Source organism: Homo sapiens, chromosome 21 (assembly GCF_000001405.40).
Source record: "Homo sapiens chromosome 21, GRCh38.p14 Primary Assembly".
Taxonomy (NCBI): domain Eukaryota; kingdom Metazoa; phylum Chordata; class Mammalia; order Primates; family Hominidae; genus Homo; species Homo sapiens.
Window position 1 is genome coordinate 5,113,647 of NC_000021.9, and position 16,583 is coordinate 5,130,229.

Below are 16,583 nucleotides of genomic sequence, written 5' to 3' on the forward strand. Positions count from 1 at the left end.
AGGACCAGATGTGGGGAGTAGGCATGAACCCGGTCTAGGCACAGGAGAGGAAGGGGGTGGCTTGGACATATTTGGAGGCAAAACCCATAGCTGGCGGCAGAGGGAGGGGCAGGGAGAAACAGGCGGCTGGGACCAGTTTCTCATGGGGATCTGGGCACATGATGGCCCCCAAGACAGAGACAGGAAGAAGTACGCGTGGGGGGCCCAGTCTGGATATGCTGAGTGGGCGGTGCCCCACTCCAAGTGTAGTGCACAGAGAAGGGCTGGAGTTACAGGCCTCCTTGGGCAGGGGTCTGAGACAGCAAGGAGCTCAGGGGGAGAAAGGGAAGGAGCAGCCTTCAAGAGAGCCTGGAGGTCAGAGTGGAAGACGTCCATCCCCAGGTAATGAGGGACTGGGAGGGACAGTCAGACCAGGTCTGGGGAGAAGAACACCAGGAAGGAAGAACAGGTGGGAATGGAGAAGCAGCTGGGAGTGGTGGGGGGGTTGGGGGTTGAGTGTGGAGGAGCTGGGAGTGGTGGGGGAGCTGGGGGTTGAGTGTGGAGGAGCTGGGAGTGGTGGGGGAGCTGGGGGTTGAGTATGGAGCAGCTGGGAGTGGTGGGGGTGCTGGGGGTTGAGTGTGGAGGAGCTGGGAGTGGTGGGGGAGCTGGGGGTTGACTGTGGAGGAGCTGGGAGTGGTGGGGGAGCTGGGGGTTGAGTGTGGAGCAGCTGGGAGTGGTGGGGGTGCTGGGGGCTGAGTGTGGAGCAGCTGGGAATGGTGGGGGAGCTGGGGGCTGAGTGTGGAGCAGGGGACTGAGTGTGGAGCAGCTGGGAGTGCTGGGGGAGCTGGGAGTGGTGGAGAAATGGAGAATGAAGAAAGGATTATCAGGGAATGGGGCATGTCCACAGGTGAAGCTCTGGTGACCTGGACAGGAGGTGAGGAGGTACCCTGGAAGGAAATAAGAGGGACAGGGCAAAGGGGTGGGGCATGTGGAGACCAGAGAGGGCTTCAGGAGAGGATAGCCCAGACTCTGATGGCACCAACAGGAAGCAGCTTGGTGAGGGGCCGCCTGCCCGTGGTCAGCCCCAAAGACAGTTCTGCCACGCCCCCTGGTGGCAGCACCTAAAGCCACAACCACGTTCCAGGGTGCACAGCCTGTGGGATGCAGAGGCCTCTGGGATGGCAGGACGGGCTGGTCCCGGGAACCATGCATGTCACCAGCGCCCCTCCCTCCCCACGCCCTGACCTTGAACCCCTGGTTAGCTCCTGTTCCCACTGGACCCCTTGTCCCCTTCCTTGATCACTTTATGCATGCCTGGCACTGCCATCCTCCTTCCCAGCATGTCCACACCCCCACCACTGCCAGGGGGACTCCATGGCTCACCGGGCCACATACTGGCTGCCCCCACCTGAACTCCAGGACGAGGGCATGCTCGTGACAGTGCCCTTGGTACCTGAAGGTGCCTGGCACGCAGCAGCCACGGAGTCACTGTCCAGTGAACCCAGGCCCAAACTCTCCTGCAGTGAACCCAGGACCGAGCTCTCCGGTTCTGTCACGGCCCCTCTCTGGGCTTCCCAACGTCCCAAGATCTATTTCTAGGGCTGGGGTTCTGGTGCTGCGCTGCCCGGAGCTGAGTCCCAGCCAAGCCCTACAAGCTGCAGGGCCCTGGGGGGAGCAAAGCCTCATCTGCAAGTGGGGACACTGAGGACCCACAGGGCCACCTGGGCTAAGGGCAGATGCAGGTGAGGACAGGCCTGGCCCAGCAGAAGCACCTGCGTGTGGGGCGCCACACTGGATCACCTCAGAGAGAGCGCGCAAACAAGCACGCAGCCAGTGCCTGCGGGAGGCTGAGAGGCTCTGGGGACAGTGCCACCGTTCCAGGCCCGAGCGATGGTTTTGCGTATTTGCTTTGTGGAAACCCCAAAGTGAATGCTTGTGACTTGTGCACTTTTCCATACACTCACACACACGTGAATAAACATGCGTGGTATACGGGTACCCCCCCTCCAGCCATGCAAAATGTGTCCCTACCAGCCTATGAGAAAGGGGAGGAGCCCCACCTTACCCTGGACATGGGAGGCTCCTCCGCTGCTGGGGACAGGGTAATCCTGGCCCCAAGGCGAGTGCTGTGGGCGTTTGCAGCGGGCGTGGGCGCCCGTGAGGACTTCCTGAGGCCCGGCCTCAGTGGGAGGAAGGCCACTGGAGAACCCAGCTCCCACGGAGGAAGAACCAGAAGTGTCAGGCTGAGACCCGATGCAGGGTGCACCGGGGCCTTCCTGCCTTACCCATGGGCCCCCCACGCCCTCTCAAGGCGGTAGAATGAATCCGCTGATTCCATGCAGTGGGTGGGGAGGGCCGAGGGGGTGTGGTGGGTACCAGTGCAATTGAGGGTTCGAGTCTTGTGGGACCAGGGCCTGCACCCCCATTCCGGGCCCAGCACCTGACACACAGGGAGGTGCAAACCAGACCACGCGGAACAGCCACGCCAGCAGCCAGAGTGGGCGTTTCCCACACCGCCACCCAACACTGGGCAGCTCCTGCCACCCACCCAGCGTGGGGCCTCTCAGGCTGGCCTGGCCCTGGCTGCTCAGGCAGAGACAGACCCAAACAGCAACAGATATGTGACACTGAGTGAAGCGTGCAGACACCTGACTCCCACCCCAAATGTTTTCTTCCCCAAACAACCCTGAACACACAGATGAATGCAGCACAAAGTCTAACGCCAACACACTTTATTTCCCTTCGGACGCATCTGCAAGCTTCTGCCACACCTGAACCCACGGCCTGGCACCAACGCTACCATCACTCCCCAGAGGTCAATCCTGGGGGCTGAGGAGCTGCAATTTCCCTTTCTTCCTGAAAATTAAGAGAACTGAGACTAATTGAAGAAACCTCACTGCCATTCCTCACTCAGCAGTCTCAGCAGGTCTGAAATGTGGCTGTGGGAAGTTGCCATTTTGGGAAGGCGTTTATTCTCTGCGGCTACAGGGATTGCCTGCTTTAGAAATCCCCTTACGCTGATTAACTCAAAAGTCCCTTCAGAGTCAAGAACCAACCTTTCATGGTCCATAAATGTGGTATTTCTGGTTTCCTGATCAGGAGGCTTGCAAACCTAAAAATGTTCTTCCTTCCAAAAACTAACTAACCTGAAGTATAAAACCTCAGACGGCAGAATTTTCTATTTCTGGAAAAGCTGGCTGCGATTTGTTTTTGGGACACAGTGAGGCAAGTCCCTGTGGCAGAGAACGAATTGGCCCCTCGGCCTCTGTATGTGAGAGCAGCCCAGCCACACCCAGGAAGAAACATCCCCCATGCACTGCAGCACATCCTCCTTAGAGAGAGAACGCCTGCAGGTTTCGGCAAAGAAAAAAAAAAAAGGGCCTGCCAGACTCCCAGCTGGATGGAAAGCAGCCGACAGCTCCTCAGCCAGAGGGTGAGGCCAAGTCCTGGCGCCTAGCTGGGCCCCGTCCATGCGCGTCACTTTCCAGTGAGTTCCAGCACCTTCCTCACCATGGCTCCGATCCCATCATGGATGTAGTGGAGTGCCGTCTCGCACATGAAGGCTGGGGTCGTGACCACCTTGTTTTTCTGGTCCACGTGAGCTTCGTGTGCAGAGTTACGGAAAAAGCCACCCAGCACGGACCTGAGGGACTTTCAGGTGTGGAGCCCCGGCCCCTCCCCCACCCTCACCGCGTGTCCTAACTTTGTTCTCAGATAACTTGGAAGAGGAGAAGTCGCTCCTGGTGCAGTCTGTGCCGGCAGGACCCTGCTTTCTGTATGATTTATGCTGCTGAACAACATAAGAAGGAACCTGTTCCCAATTCACATGCATTCTAGAGGAAGAAAGCAGCGGGAAATTCCAGGGAACGGGGCACCTTTCATGCCAGCATCACACAGGCCCAACACCCACACATGGCCACGAGCTGCCCCGCCATGGGGGCGCACACATGCCTGGGGTGCTCACAACCACCACGGGAGGCAGTGGCAGCACCTCCGCTTTTCAGATGAAGAACTGGCCGTGAAGGAGCCGGTCCTCATGGGGCAGGGCAACAGGCAACAGGGCAGCAGGTGGCACAACTGGGGCCGGCCAGCCACAGACCTGAGCCTCCCCAACACCACGCATGTAACCACTGGCCAGGCCTCCACACCACCCAAGACACGTGCCCCTATCTTCCTGCAAGCAGTCAGAGGCCTGGGGCCAGCCTTGCACTGCGCTCCTGCCCAGCAGGAAAGCCGCAGGGAGGGAGACGGGGCCTGACGTCTGAAGCTGCCTGTGAGAAAAAAGCTGCCCCATTGAGAGGAACTGCACCCTTCAGAACAACACCTGCAGGGGACCGGGTCCATGCTCTACTCATTCCAGTGCCTTCCGGCACCCCGGAGTGTTCTGTTCTCTCAGTTGGGCTCACATGGACATTCTCCCAGATCCAGGCAGGGCCTTCCAGGAGCCTCCCTCCAAATCTCCCTGGGCAACAGCCCCGCTGGCGTTCTTGGTCCATCATCTCAGAACTCAGGGTACACACCTCAACAGGAGGGGCTGGGGGCCGCAAGGCTGGCTGAATCACCTGGCCACCCAAACTGGCCTGAGAACTTCCGCCCAAATGAAGCCAGGAAGCCCCTTCTCCTGCACACCCGGCCGCTTTCCCCCAGCATCTCAGGAAGCCCCCGCCTCCTGCACGCCCGGCTGCTCTCCCTCCACACCTCGCACACACTCTTTCCTCACCCTCCCCCCGCTGGGCCCGGAGTGTGGCTGCCTGGGTGTTGCTGAGCAGACTAAACAGTCAGGCAAGGGACCTGGATCTGCCGGATCTGCCAACCACGCACCAGAGCTGCGCTTCTGACGTGTCTGTGACCCACCTCACACCAGCTGGGCTGTCACAGCCATCTGCTCTCTGCCCTTAGACACATGGCTGCGGTGCCCACTGGGGGAGGCCCCACAGGGAGAGCAGCAGGTGCAGCTCCCGGTGAAGAGGCCACCCACCAAGACAGCCCGGAGGGAGGGGCGTCCCTATGCACGTCTCAGGGACAAGCACGACAGCGGGCCGGGCCTGGCTACCAGGAAGGATATGACCACTTCCTTCACGCAGTGCTTGGCACCCAGGGCCTTGATGGCCTCTGCGGTCCCGGCATAAGGCCACTTGCCACCTTCCTCCTGCTCGTGGCCCACAGTCACCTCGACGCCTCTGAGCACCTTGGCCGCGAGGACAGGTGCAATGCAGCACAAGCTGAAAGGCGAAAAGAACACGGGTCAGGCAGGCTGCATGGCCTGCAGAACAGAAATTACCCTCGCCATGACCCCAGGCTGCCCTGCCACGGGAGCCCTGCCGACCCTGCCCCCTGTGAGCCTGCGCTGCCAGAAGGCTGTGGCCCATGGGATGTGATGGAGGTGGCACCAGGTGACTCAAGGCTGAGAGTGAGGTGTCCTCAGCCCCACTCCCCGCCAAGCACGCCCTGCAGGCACTCAAGCACCAGGCCAAGGACCCCTGAGGGGAACCCCCAACAGCCATGGGCTAAGCCCCAAGCCCCAGGACACCCCAGACTGGCGAGAGTCCCGGGCTGCCAAAGTCCACTCACAGAGAGGGTAATGATGTGCGGCTGCCCCAGCCCTGAGTTGTGGGGTGGTCTGTGACCCAGCAATAGATAACACAGCTGCACTTCTCATTCACACCAGCCCCCCTTCTACAGGAGGCACAATGGGCCAGGAGCAGCCTCGCCAGCCTCTGACCTGCAGCACAACTCTCAACAAGTGCAGGCTGGTGGGCGCACGCCCCTGACCCTGACGCACAGGCCGCAGCAGCCCTGAAACTGAGGGTCCTGCCACACCCACCCCTGGGACCTGCTTCTGCTTCATCAGGAACCCTTCCCTGCCAAGTCAACAGAGGCCCCTGTGTGCCAGGCACTGTGCCCACAGCAGGGCCTTCAGTGACCTGTGTCGTCCAGCGCCTCATGGCCACCCAGGGGCAACAGTGGAAGGAGTACGGCCTCATTAACAGCAGCCCCATCCCCTGGCAACCTGTGGTGTAGCCCACAGCTGTCAGGCCCCACCCTGCCCTCAACACCCCGCACCCTTCATCCCTCCTCCCGCTGTCTACAGTCCTACCCACTCCCGACAGGCCCAGGTGGAAACTGCTACCGTGAGCTGTAACGAAACACTGTTAAAAACACATTTCACAGCCAGGTGCAGTGGCTCATGCCTGTAATCCCAGCACTTTGGGCAGCTGAGGCAGGCAGAACACCTGAGGTCGGGAGTTCGAGACCAGCCTGACTAACATGGCGAAAACTTGTCTCTATTAAAATTACAAAAGTTCGGCCTGGTGGCAGACACCTGTAATCCCAGCTACTTGGGAGGCTGAGGCAGGAGAATTGCTTGACCCCGGGAGGCGGAGGTTGCAGTGAGCCAAGATCACTCCAGCCTGGGCAACAGAGCGATACTCTCAAAACAAACCCGCCCCCCAAAACTGCATGTCCTGAAGCAACTTCTGGCTGCCTATGAGATGAAACCCCCCTGCCGCCCTCTGCGCAGGCAGAAAGTCCAGGAAGCAGGTTCTCAGCAGCTCCCGACGCTGCGTGCAGCCGCCCAGCCATCAACTGCCAGCTACAGATGCCACAGTGGCTCCTGGCACAGCCCAGCGCCCACCTCGACTACTGCATTCAAGGAAGGGGTCCCAGCAGTGAGCGGCTGGGCCGCCTAACAGCCCCTGGCTGGCCACGCAGGCCTCTGACACCAGGCTGAGGGGTGGGTGGGGCCAGTGGGAAAGGATTTAGGTTTCCTCAGGAAAAAAGCCTGTGGGTCACCGTGCACGGAAGCCCCATGGCTGGACCGGGGAGCAGACGGGCTTGTGCCCTGCAGTTTTCAGGGGAGCCTCATGGCTGGACCGGGGAGGAGACAGGCTTGCGCCCTGTGCTGTTTCCAGGGGAGCCTCATGGCTGGATTGGGGAGGAGATGGGCTTGCGCCCCACACTGTTTTCAGGGGAGGCATGCTCAGAGGCAGTGGTTCACCTGCCAGGGGCTGTCTTGTTTCATCGAGATTTTTAATCAGTCACAGAAGAAAGGGCCATGGGCTCCTCCCTCTGGGCGCTCATCCAAGGAACACTTCTCTGACAAGGACGGGATCCCGAGGTGGAGACCATGGGCGAAACCTTCACCCCGGCTGTGACACGGCTGCAGCAGGGACCTCCTTCAGGAGCTCTGAGCCTGCACCTCTTCCTGAGGCTCCACTTTAGGGGCCTCCCTGGACAGTGACCAGGCAGGTCCTTAAGTGAGTGACTGTGGGTGGGGAGACAGAGGATTCCGATAGATCCTCATCCTTGTTCGGCTGACAGAACTCGGTAGTGAGCGGCCATCGCGAGTGCGCCTCACTGATGTTCACCCACGCAAGTGCGGCTCTCGCCCTGCCAGCACCAGACGCAGCTGAGACCTGGACAGCACAGCGCCGCGTTCCAGGACCACCAAGGAGCAGGTGCCGGGAGGCTCGTGGAAGCATCACACCTGCCGAGGCGGAACCCGGCCTTGCTGGGTCACCCTCACACATCTGAGAGTGACTTCCCGGCAGCAGACGCTGAAGAGCACACACTCCCTGCGGGGCTGCGACCCGCCACGTAAGCCAAGGCGCTTACGTGGATGAAGGAGTGGGCGCCCTACTCGTGCCGCCAACCTCAGGACCCAGGCTTTGTCTGAGCAGGGACAAAGGGGCGTGGTTGGCTGTGGCTCCCCAGGAGGGAGGCCGCTGGGAGTGGATGGCGTCAGGGATGGAGCACGTGCTGCAGTGACTGGCCAGAAGTCAGCGGGGTTGGGGGTACTGTGGCTAAGGGGCTTGGGAGAAGGGGTCTGGTAAAGGATAGGGGTCCTGAGGGACTGCCTAGGGACACCTCTGGGAGCCAAGAGAATTCCAGGCCTCCTCTAGGGAAGTGCAGTGTGCCTCTCCTTCCTGTTAAGTCACCAGTGACATCGTGTGAAATCCCCTCAGTTAAAACAAGAAAACCAGCTGTGAGTTTTCAGGATCAGCGGCAGCTCCTGGCTGAGAACAGAGGCCGCGGGCCCACGCACCCTCCTCCCTCCCTCCCCGAGGCCTGCACGGCTGTACACACCCGATGGGCTTCCCGGCCTGGTGGAACTCCTTCAGGACACGCTCCACTTCTTTATTCACCTTGCAATCTTTCCCGTCCACGGCAAACGTGCTCCTACCGGGAGACAAAAGGCCTCCTCAGACAGCCTCACAACCAGGGTCTATTCCTGGGGGGCTTCCTAGGCACAGCTCCAGACCCTCAGTCAGCTGCAGCAAGGGACATGGGCATGGCTGCACATATGCGCGTTTGATGTGAACATATTTTCCTGTTTTTTAAACAGAAATAAGCATAGGAAGCAGGAGGATCAGGAAGTGGTGCAGCAGGAGGCCACCAGGGCGAGAGGGCCCACGCCCTGGAACCTTCCGGAGCAGCTGGCAGAACCCGGGCTGCGGTGCTGAGACTCAGACGCTGGTTTCCGGCTCCTAACTCCCGTGCTGCTTGTTAGCTTTCTGTTACGACGTTGGCTGTGTCGGGCCTCGGGCAGCCTCTGACCTTCCCGCCTGCCCTTTACCTGCCCCAAAGCAGGACTCCAATGTTCCCCGCCTTTCTGACTGTGGGTCTCAGGACCCTCTCCTGAGAGGGTCCCCCACTCCCCGGGGGAGAATGCTGACGTCATGTTTCCCTGAGCACTGTGAGCCACGCCAGCAAACGGGGTTGTGGGAACCCCAACTTGAAGTCAACTGGTCAGTTCCAGAGGCTCAGACAGTTTACCGGTATGTGTCAGAGGGCAGTTTTGGGGACGGAGCCCTCAACCCGTGCGATCGGACGCTACCCCGGGTCCATACTGTCGGAACTGAATTAGAAGGCAGCAGCGACCCCTGCGTGGTGCATGGGGAAGACCCTTCACACCCACCTTCTGTGTGGACAACTGTTGTGGTGGGAGGAGGAGAAACACGGTGTGAGAGTTTTTCCTTAAAACAAAGGGGCAGCAGGAAACTCCAGGAGTTCCCAAAAAAAGAAACGCAGTCGGCCTCCAGGCATACCAAGCACTCTTGCTTCGATGACCGTGAAAGAAACGCCAGTTTACCTGCGACACCAGCATCCACACCTCAGGCCGAGGAGCAGGAGCTGTGGAGGGCACGCGGGGCAGGGGAGGTCTCTCCACACTGCCCATGGGGCGTGTGATCTGGCAATGCCACCAAATCTACAAGTGGACACACCTTCCCACGAACCCACCCCTGGGCTCTACGCCACCCTCACGCACCCCAGTCCTCTGCCCCAGCATTTTCCACATGGCTTTGCTGGCAGAGTGCTGGGAATCTTCTGGAGGCAGTGGGTGTTCGCCGTCCCCATGGGTGACTGTCTCAGAGGGTGCAGAGTGGCCACGGCTGCAGCTCATTAGAGCGCGCCGCACCATGGACACGCAGGGCAGGCTCACCCAGAACGCTCTGGACAGGTCAGTGAAAATGGGAGCTTCGCCCAGGGGACGTGGGCTCAGACACACGGGCACATCAGTCCCAGGGCCCATCAACACCTTGAAAGCCAAGGCCAAGACCCACTGACCCTGAGAACCACCACACACCTCACGCCTGTGCCTCTGGGTTGGCAAAATGTGGAGGAGCCATGCCAGGGCACGGAGCCCCCAGCACACCCTCCAGCTGCCCCTGCGCCCCGCCACACACGGTGTCAGTGGTCAGAGCCTCGTGGAGACGGCAGCGACGCAGGGACAACTGGACAAAAGATCGAGCCTGACGTGGGGCTGCGTGAGGTCAGGGGTGTGGGCGGCACCGACGAGGCTTGCTGGCTTTCAGGAGACCGGGGACGACAGGCTGGGGTGGGGCTTCCGGTGAGAGAGGGGTGAGGGCACGGCCAAGGGCACTGAGAAAACAGCTGGCATCTGAGGAAGGAGGCCTCTGAGGTTTCGGGATAAGGAGGGGCGCATTCTTCGGATGGAGACTGCCTACCCCTCGACTCTGGGTGCAGGCTGCCCAGGGTGGGGCAAGCGGCCAGCCAGCCTCCAACCTGCCCTTGAAACAGGAGCTGCCGACCGGGGCCGGCCGTGCTGGGGCTGCCACCCACACCATGGCACAGAAGCCACCTGCACGCTCCGATGCACTGCGGCCAGTGCTCCTGCAGGTGGCAGAGCTGTCCCTGGAGGGTCAGCCTGGCACCACCTCCACCTCTCAGGCAGGGCCATGGGGGCGGTGCCCAGAGAACCTCCATGAATGTGCAAAGAGAGAGAGGAGACACAGAGAACAGAAAGAGGATCTGGAACTCAAGGACGCCACCGTGTGGGAGCCGGCCAGGCCTCCATGATTCACGGTCCAGCTACCAAAACAGCCACGCCAAGGCGGCCTCCCTTCTTCCTGTCAGGACCGCCGCCCAAACTACCAAGAAGGAAACCCATTTCTGATCCTGCAAGGTTCCATAAGAGAATTGGGGCCAGGCGCGGTGGCTCAGGCCTGGAATCCCAGCACTTTGGGAGGCAGGAGGGTTACTCGAGCCCAGAAGTTCCAGACCAATTTGGGCTACATACATGGCCAAAAAAAAAAAAAACAAAACCATGGGCATGGTGACATGCGCCTATAGTCTCGGCTACTCAGGAGGATGAGGCTGGAGGATGGCTTGAGCCCAGGAGATCATGGCTGCAGTGAACTAGGATCGTGCCACTGCATCCCTGCCTGGGCAACAGACCAAGACCTCATCTCTACAGAAAAAAAAAAAAAAAAAGAGAGAGAGAGAGAAAAAAAACTGGCACTTGCAAGGAGTAAATACTCAGAGACTGATTTCAACGTGACGAGACCTACAGCACAGTGATGAGATAAGAGGGAGCCCCAAACCCACTCTGACAAGCTGCTGGGTACCAGGAATGCTGAGAGAAGAGGCAGCAGAGAAGCAGAAACAAAAGCATGGCTCGCTACAACGCTACCTAAGACCCAACCCTAAGAACAGCTCCCAAGTCAGAGGGCAGGCACGTGCCCTGCCCAGACCCTAAACCCAGAGACTGCTCCTATCACCACCCCCTCCCATCGCCGCTCCACTGACCACATTGGACAGCAGACAGGTGCACCCCCTTCCCATCTGCTCCACATGGAAAGCGGAAGACCTTGGAGCTCAAATACGCACAGGTTTTTAGCCGCTCCAAAGCCTCCTGGAAAGATGGCAGCATCATGGTTGGCTGCACTGAGGTTGGCCAGGTCTGTGATTTTGCCACGGGCGATCCTCGCAGACTCGGTCAAAACATTCCTGGGAAAGAGCACAGGGCAAAAAGCCTCAGCATGCAGGTGAAGGACTGTGGAGCGCGGCAGGGGCACAGCCCACAGGCAACACGCTCCACACACGTGGCTCTCAGCCACACGGGGACTTACTTCCAGGTCAGCATGTTTGGTCACTACCTGGAAAGACAACATGGTTCTAGCAACGCTAAATCTATGCTGGGCTCTTCCGATCAGCACTTCAGAACCTGCGCCAAATCACTCTGAATCTTCTGCAGTCAAGGCCCATGGGAAATGGAAGTCTCTCCGAGTGTCTAAAGCAGACAGAATTCTGTGCACTCATCAGGACGGTGGGACTCAGAGGGGAAGGTAAGAAGCCAGGACTCAGGACCAGTGAAGCAACCCGAAGGCCAGCCACCGCAGGAAGCTGCTAGCCCCCAGGTGTGGGGGCCGAAGGTGCAAGTCCAGGTGCAGAAGCCAGGGTCCCAGGCAGGAAAAGAAATCACAGGGGTCCCCACTGGTGAGAAGCACAGCCCCAGGAGGCAGCTATGGCTTCTTCCTCGAATCTCCAGCTCCGACCTCTCGTGGTCCGAGGCCAGTTGGAAGGCACCTTGGAATGGCCTGCACAGGGCTGTCAGGCAGGACAGGCAAGGGAAGGGGATCTCAGGCCACACAGGCCAGAACCACACACACCGCAGTAACAGACATGCTGCTGGGAACCAGCAAAACAGATCTGGAGCCCAGACAGGGGAAGAAGGTGGGCGACCAAGCTGAGAACCACCACCTTTGCTTAAGACCAAGGTATGAGCAGCCTGACTCAGTGGGAAGCGATCCGGTCGCCATTTTCAGTCCTTCTGTGAGTACTGGAAGGAAGGCACTCCTGAGCCTTGGCAGCATTACTTCCGGAACAGCCCGAGCACAGCTGCTCAGAAGGACGTTCATTTGCACACAAGACTTGGTTTAAGCTAAGCCAGCAAAAAAAGGCTGCACCGTGGGAGGTAGACAAGAAGCAAGTTCCAATCCCACCCCCACACCTGCTCTCGCCTTCGGACGGCTGCCCCTTGGTGTGGTCAATCACGTGCATCTGAGGGACGTCAGGAGCAAAGATCTGGACTTCAGCCCCTCCACGGCTCAGGTGCACCAGGATCCTGCACGGGGGAAAACCAGAGACAACTCTTCAAAACGTGCCCCACTCAGATTTGTGTTAACACATTTTTAAAAACAGGATTTTAGCTAAGTACCAGGAGCAAATTCCTAATGTATATTAATATCTTACTTGCTCTGCAAAAAGTTACAGTTGGTTCCATACCAAGCCAAACGTCCCCCACACCCCCATTCCAATTCACTGTCGGTTGGTGGGTTACGACTATGACAAACCCTCAGAAGTGGGCTATGGAGATCAGCTGGTCCCAACAGCTCCCTTTGCAAACTGGGGTATGGGGGCCGGGTGACTCCACTGAGGGCACAGCCTGGAGGCGTGCGGGTCCCCGGCTGCTGAGTGCTCTACCTACACCCAGGGCCTGGCTGCCCTCCTCCAGTTGCTTGCTGCAAGCACCAAGAGTGAGAAGCAGCAGTGTGCTCAGAGTGCCACGTGCACAGACGGTGTGACGGGGCTTTCGGTCACTACTTAGTTCAATTTCTAGTCTCCCTCAACTTTCCCATCACAGATGGTGGGAGAGACACAAGAGACCCCAGGACAACACCACAGGCCAGGCAGCTCCATCTCCCCAAGGGCAAGGGCAACAGAAGCTCCTCCTGGGGACAACAGCTGACATTATGGGGGCTCACGCTGGCATCCGCAACTCCCAGTGCCAACAGGAGATAGGTGGCTAAGCCCACCCACACACTAAGCCCTCACTGCCCCTTACGTGGAGGAGGAAACCGAGGCATGAAGTGCAGTGACTTGCCAGAGGGAGAGGTCAGCACCTGGCCCTGGCACTTGGGTTCCGCTACCCATAAGAAATCCACCCAGACACCCCAGACACAAGACCCTGCCGTTCTGCCTGGGAGAGCTCAAGCTATTCTGGGGCTATTTTCTATCCCACCAAGGCCAAATCATGAAACACATCCTGGCCCTTTCCCCCAGCTCACTCTGCCTAGTGCCAACTCCAACCAGCCAAGGTGGGCCACCCACAAAGCCACCAGCCTCAGGCCACTCTCCATGGCCTGACACCCCTTTCGCCACCACCCAGCTCTCCCCTCTCCAGTTCACCCTGAACCACATGGGAACTACAGGTACCTGGCACGCGTGGTGGCCTCCTGCCCTACTGGTTCGGCCTGCAGTCATTTCCAGTAGCACAGGAAATCAGGCCACCAAGCACTCAGCAACAGCTGACCAGTTACGTAAACAGTAACCTGTCTAGGACCCAGAAATACCACGCAACTGTTAAAATGATGTTGAGAACTGAATGAATGGGAATTACTTCCCATGCGTCAGAAACATTTGCAAAACACGGGTGAGTGTGATCTCAGTGTTTTCAAAATGTGTGTGTCCTGAAAAACACTCAAGTGAAATGCTAAGTCATTTCTAGGCTCTAGGTGACAGTATAAGCGACACTTAAAAACTGTTCTTTCTTAGCGTCTCCCTGGGTTTTGCAAGTCGTTTTTGCTTTTTTTTAGCCAAGAATAGGGTATTTAAAATACAAGCTCTCTCGGCCGGGTGCAGTGGCTCATGCCTGTAATCCCAGCACTTTGGGAGGCCAAAGCGGGAGGATCACTTGAGGTCAGGAGTTTGAGACCAGCCTGGCCAACATGGTGAAACTCCGTATCTACCAAAAATACACAAATTAGTTGGGTGTGGTGGTGCATGCTTGTAGTCCCAGCTACTCGGAAGGCTGAGGCAGGAGAATCGCTTGAACCCAGGAGGCGGAGGCCGCAGTGAGCCAAGATCGCGCCATTGCACTCCAGACTGGGCGCTGTCTCAAAAGACAAAAAGTAAAAATAAAATAAAATACATGCTTTCTCTAAGCTGTTCAAAAAAGAGTAAACTTCACTGGTGGAGAGGCCTTCTCGAGGCCCCCGGGGTGGAGGACCAGCTGCCCCTGAGGACTTACGCCGAGGCCTCGTGGATCTCGGTCCCATCGTAGACTCCGCATCCAGACAGCACCTGCGAGAGGAGCGGGAGCTGACCCGGGGGAAAGGGGCCGACCTGGGCGGCGGGAGTTGACTGGGGGGAAAGGGGCCGACCTGGGCCGCGGGCGCTGACCCGGGAAAATGGGGCCGACCTGGGCCGCAGGAGCTGACTTGGGGTGAAGGAGCCGACGTGGGGCGGCGGGAGCGGACCTAGGAAGAGGGGCCGACCTTGGGCAGAGAACAGCGAAGGCTGATCTCTGGAGGCGGGAGCTGACCTCACCCCCTCCGTCCACTCACCAGCGCGACCCTGGCCGCGGGGCGCGGCACGGAGAGGTGAAGGGCTGCGCGCTGGGAAGGCGTCCGACCGCCGGGGGACAGGGACGTGAATGCAGATGCCGCAGCGAGCCTCGAGGCCACCAGGGCCCTCACAGCCGCCATTGCGGTGAGGACAGCGGGGTCGGAAGGTCACGCAGGGACAGAGCGTGCGCACCCACCCCTCTACAAACGCGTTGCTCGTCGGGACTGCGCCTGCGCAGCCTTCGGGGCGGAGCCAAGACCCGCCCCCGTCTCAGCCCTATCCAGTGAGTGCGCCGGTGGGCGGGGGCCGCGCCTGCGCAGAGCCTCCGAATAGAGTTCCGGGAACCCTGTCTTCCTTCCGGTGGTGGCTGAGGGCTCGTGCTCGAGGCTGAGGGATGCTGGTGACTCCCGGGGTCCCCAGCCCCGCCCCCATCGGACGCCTCCACAGGCGGCGCACCCTTTCCGCCATCCGCAGAGCAAGGCTGCCTCGGGGCGGCTCAGTCCGGCGCTTCTTACCTTACCTCCGTCTCATCCTTAACTCACCACGAGCGTCCAGGGTCCACATCCTCCTAAATGGCCACTCGTCTTAATCTCGGCGTCAGGACCCACGCGGGGTCAGGACTACCCCTCCGCTTCCATGACTGTCTCCTCGCGGCTCCGGCTCCCACGGAGCGACCCCTCCGGGTTTTACTGACCCCGGGATGTTGTATCCTGGAAACTGCAGTTCCACCCAGGGGCTTGATCTGGGTTAGTCTGGGGGCAAGTGAGCCGCCGATTCTGTTTGGGTTTTTTTTTTTTTTTTTTTGAGACGGAGTTTCCCTCTTGTTGCCCGGGCTGGAGTGCAATGGCGCGAAGTCGGCTCAACGCAACCTCCGCCTCCCAGGTTCAAGCGACTCTTCTGCCTCAGCCTCCCAAGTAGCTGGGACTACAGGCATGCGCCACCACGCCAGGCTAATTTTGTATTTTTAGTAGAGACGGGGTTTCTCCATGTTGGTCTGGCTGGTCTTGAACTCCCGAGCTCAGGTGATCTGCCCGCCTCGGACTCCCAAAGTGCTGGGATTACAGGCGTGAGCCACCATTCCCGGGCACTGTTTGGGTTTGTTTTTTTGTTTTTGTTTTTTACGTTCACAGCATGGACGGTCAGTGTGAAGATCCCAGCTGCTCGGGTCCTAGCTGGAATTCTTCCATTAAAAAAATCTGTTTGTTATGCATGGGTTAGTTCACAGAGGAATAGCTGGATAAGTGCTGGCTTTTTCCCCGATTTACCCATTTTCAACCTAATAATGCAGGTTTTTGAAATAATGTGAATGGTTACTGCTGGCGGATGTTCACAGGGACACACCGGATTCTACAGACACATCTGATGATCTAGCCACGGCTGTCACTTTCCCCACTGCCGCGTTGTCCATCACTAGGACTTTACTGCCAATCCTTGCAAGATAGTGGGGAACTAGAATAACAGACATGGGACATTACCAGTTACAACCAAAGACAAGCTTGGCACATTTGACTGTCCTCGTTCCTGCTCCTCCGTGCCTGGCCCTCTTCAGGCTTCTCAGCTCCTGGGGAGCGGCCAGCCAGGGAGCATCAGCTGGTGGGAGCGATGGGGTTGTGGGATGGCACAAAAAAACACCAAGCGCCACTCAGAAAGGAAATGCCGAATGCAGACTCTCACTCAGTCGGTGTGGGGGCCAGGACCCTGTCTCTACCAAGTGTGCGGGAGCTGCCCCTGGCCGGGAGCTCCCAGACCCCACTGCAGAGCCGCAGCTCCAGTTGTCCCAGGGGCGACTACTCAGGTGTCCATCGCCATGCACATGTGACACAGAAAAGGGTGAGGCGAGGAGGGGGAACGCTGGAAATTGTTTCACGGAAAAGGGCGAGGCAAGGGAGGGGAACACTGGAACTTGTGCTTTGGGTAGGCGATAGCTAAGGATTCTCTCTCGTCTGGGTCACGGAGATTGTGCAGCCACAGAACACCTGGTGTCATCAGGGCCTGAGCTCCTCCCTTCTACAAAG

The 16,583-nt window shown here is 59.0% G+C and overlaps 1 protein-coding gene across 3 annotated transcripts, besides 1 other annotated feature; it reads right to left on the minus strand.

Moving 5' to 3' along the window:
- Positions 1-16,583: part of a sequence alteration artifact (region identified as an assembly artifact by the Genome Reference Consortium. This region falsely duplicates sequence located at GRCh38 chr21:44095806-44253496) that runs on past both edges of the window.
- On the minus strand, positions 2,695-14,723 carry LOC102724023 (glutamine amidotransferase class 1 domain containing 3B). Of its 3 annotated transcripts, NM_001363758.2 has the most exons (7): positions 14,568-14,723; positions 14,252-14,304; positions 12,233-12,346; positions 11,110-11,229; positions 8,065-8,157; positions 5,045-5,201; positions 2,695-3,585 (listed from the first exon to the last, which is right to left on the minus strand). In NM_001363758.2, the coding sequence occupies exons 1-7, from the start codon at positions 14,706-14,708 to the stop codon at positions 3,457-3,459; spliced, it is 807 nt and encodes a 268-aa protein (NP_001350687.1). In that variant the 5' UTR covers positions 14,709-14,723; the 3' UTR covers positions 2,695-3,456. The 3 variants fall into 3 exon arrangements, with proteins under 3 accessions (NP_001350687.1, NP_001350690.1, NP_001350689.1); NM_001363761.2 differs by lacking the exon at positions 14,252-14,304; NM_001363760.2 differs by lacking the exon at positions 8,065-8,157.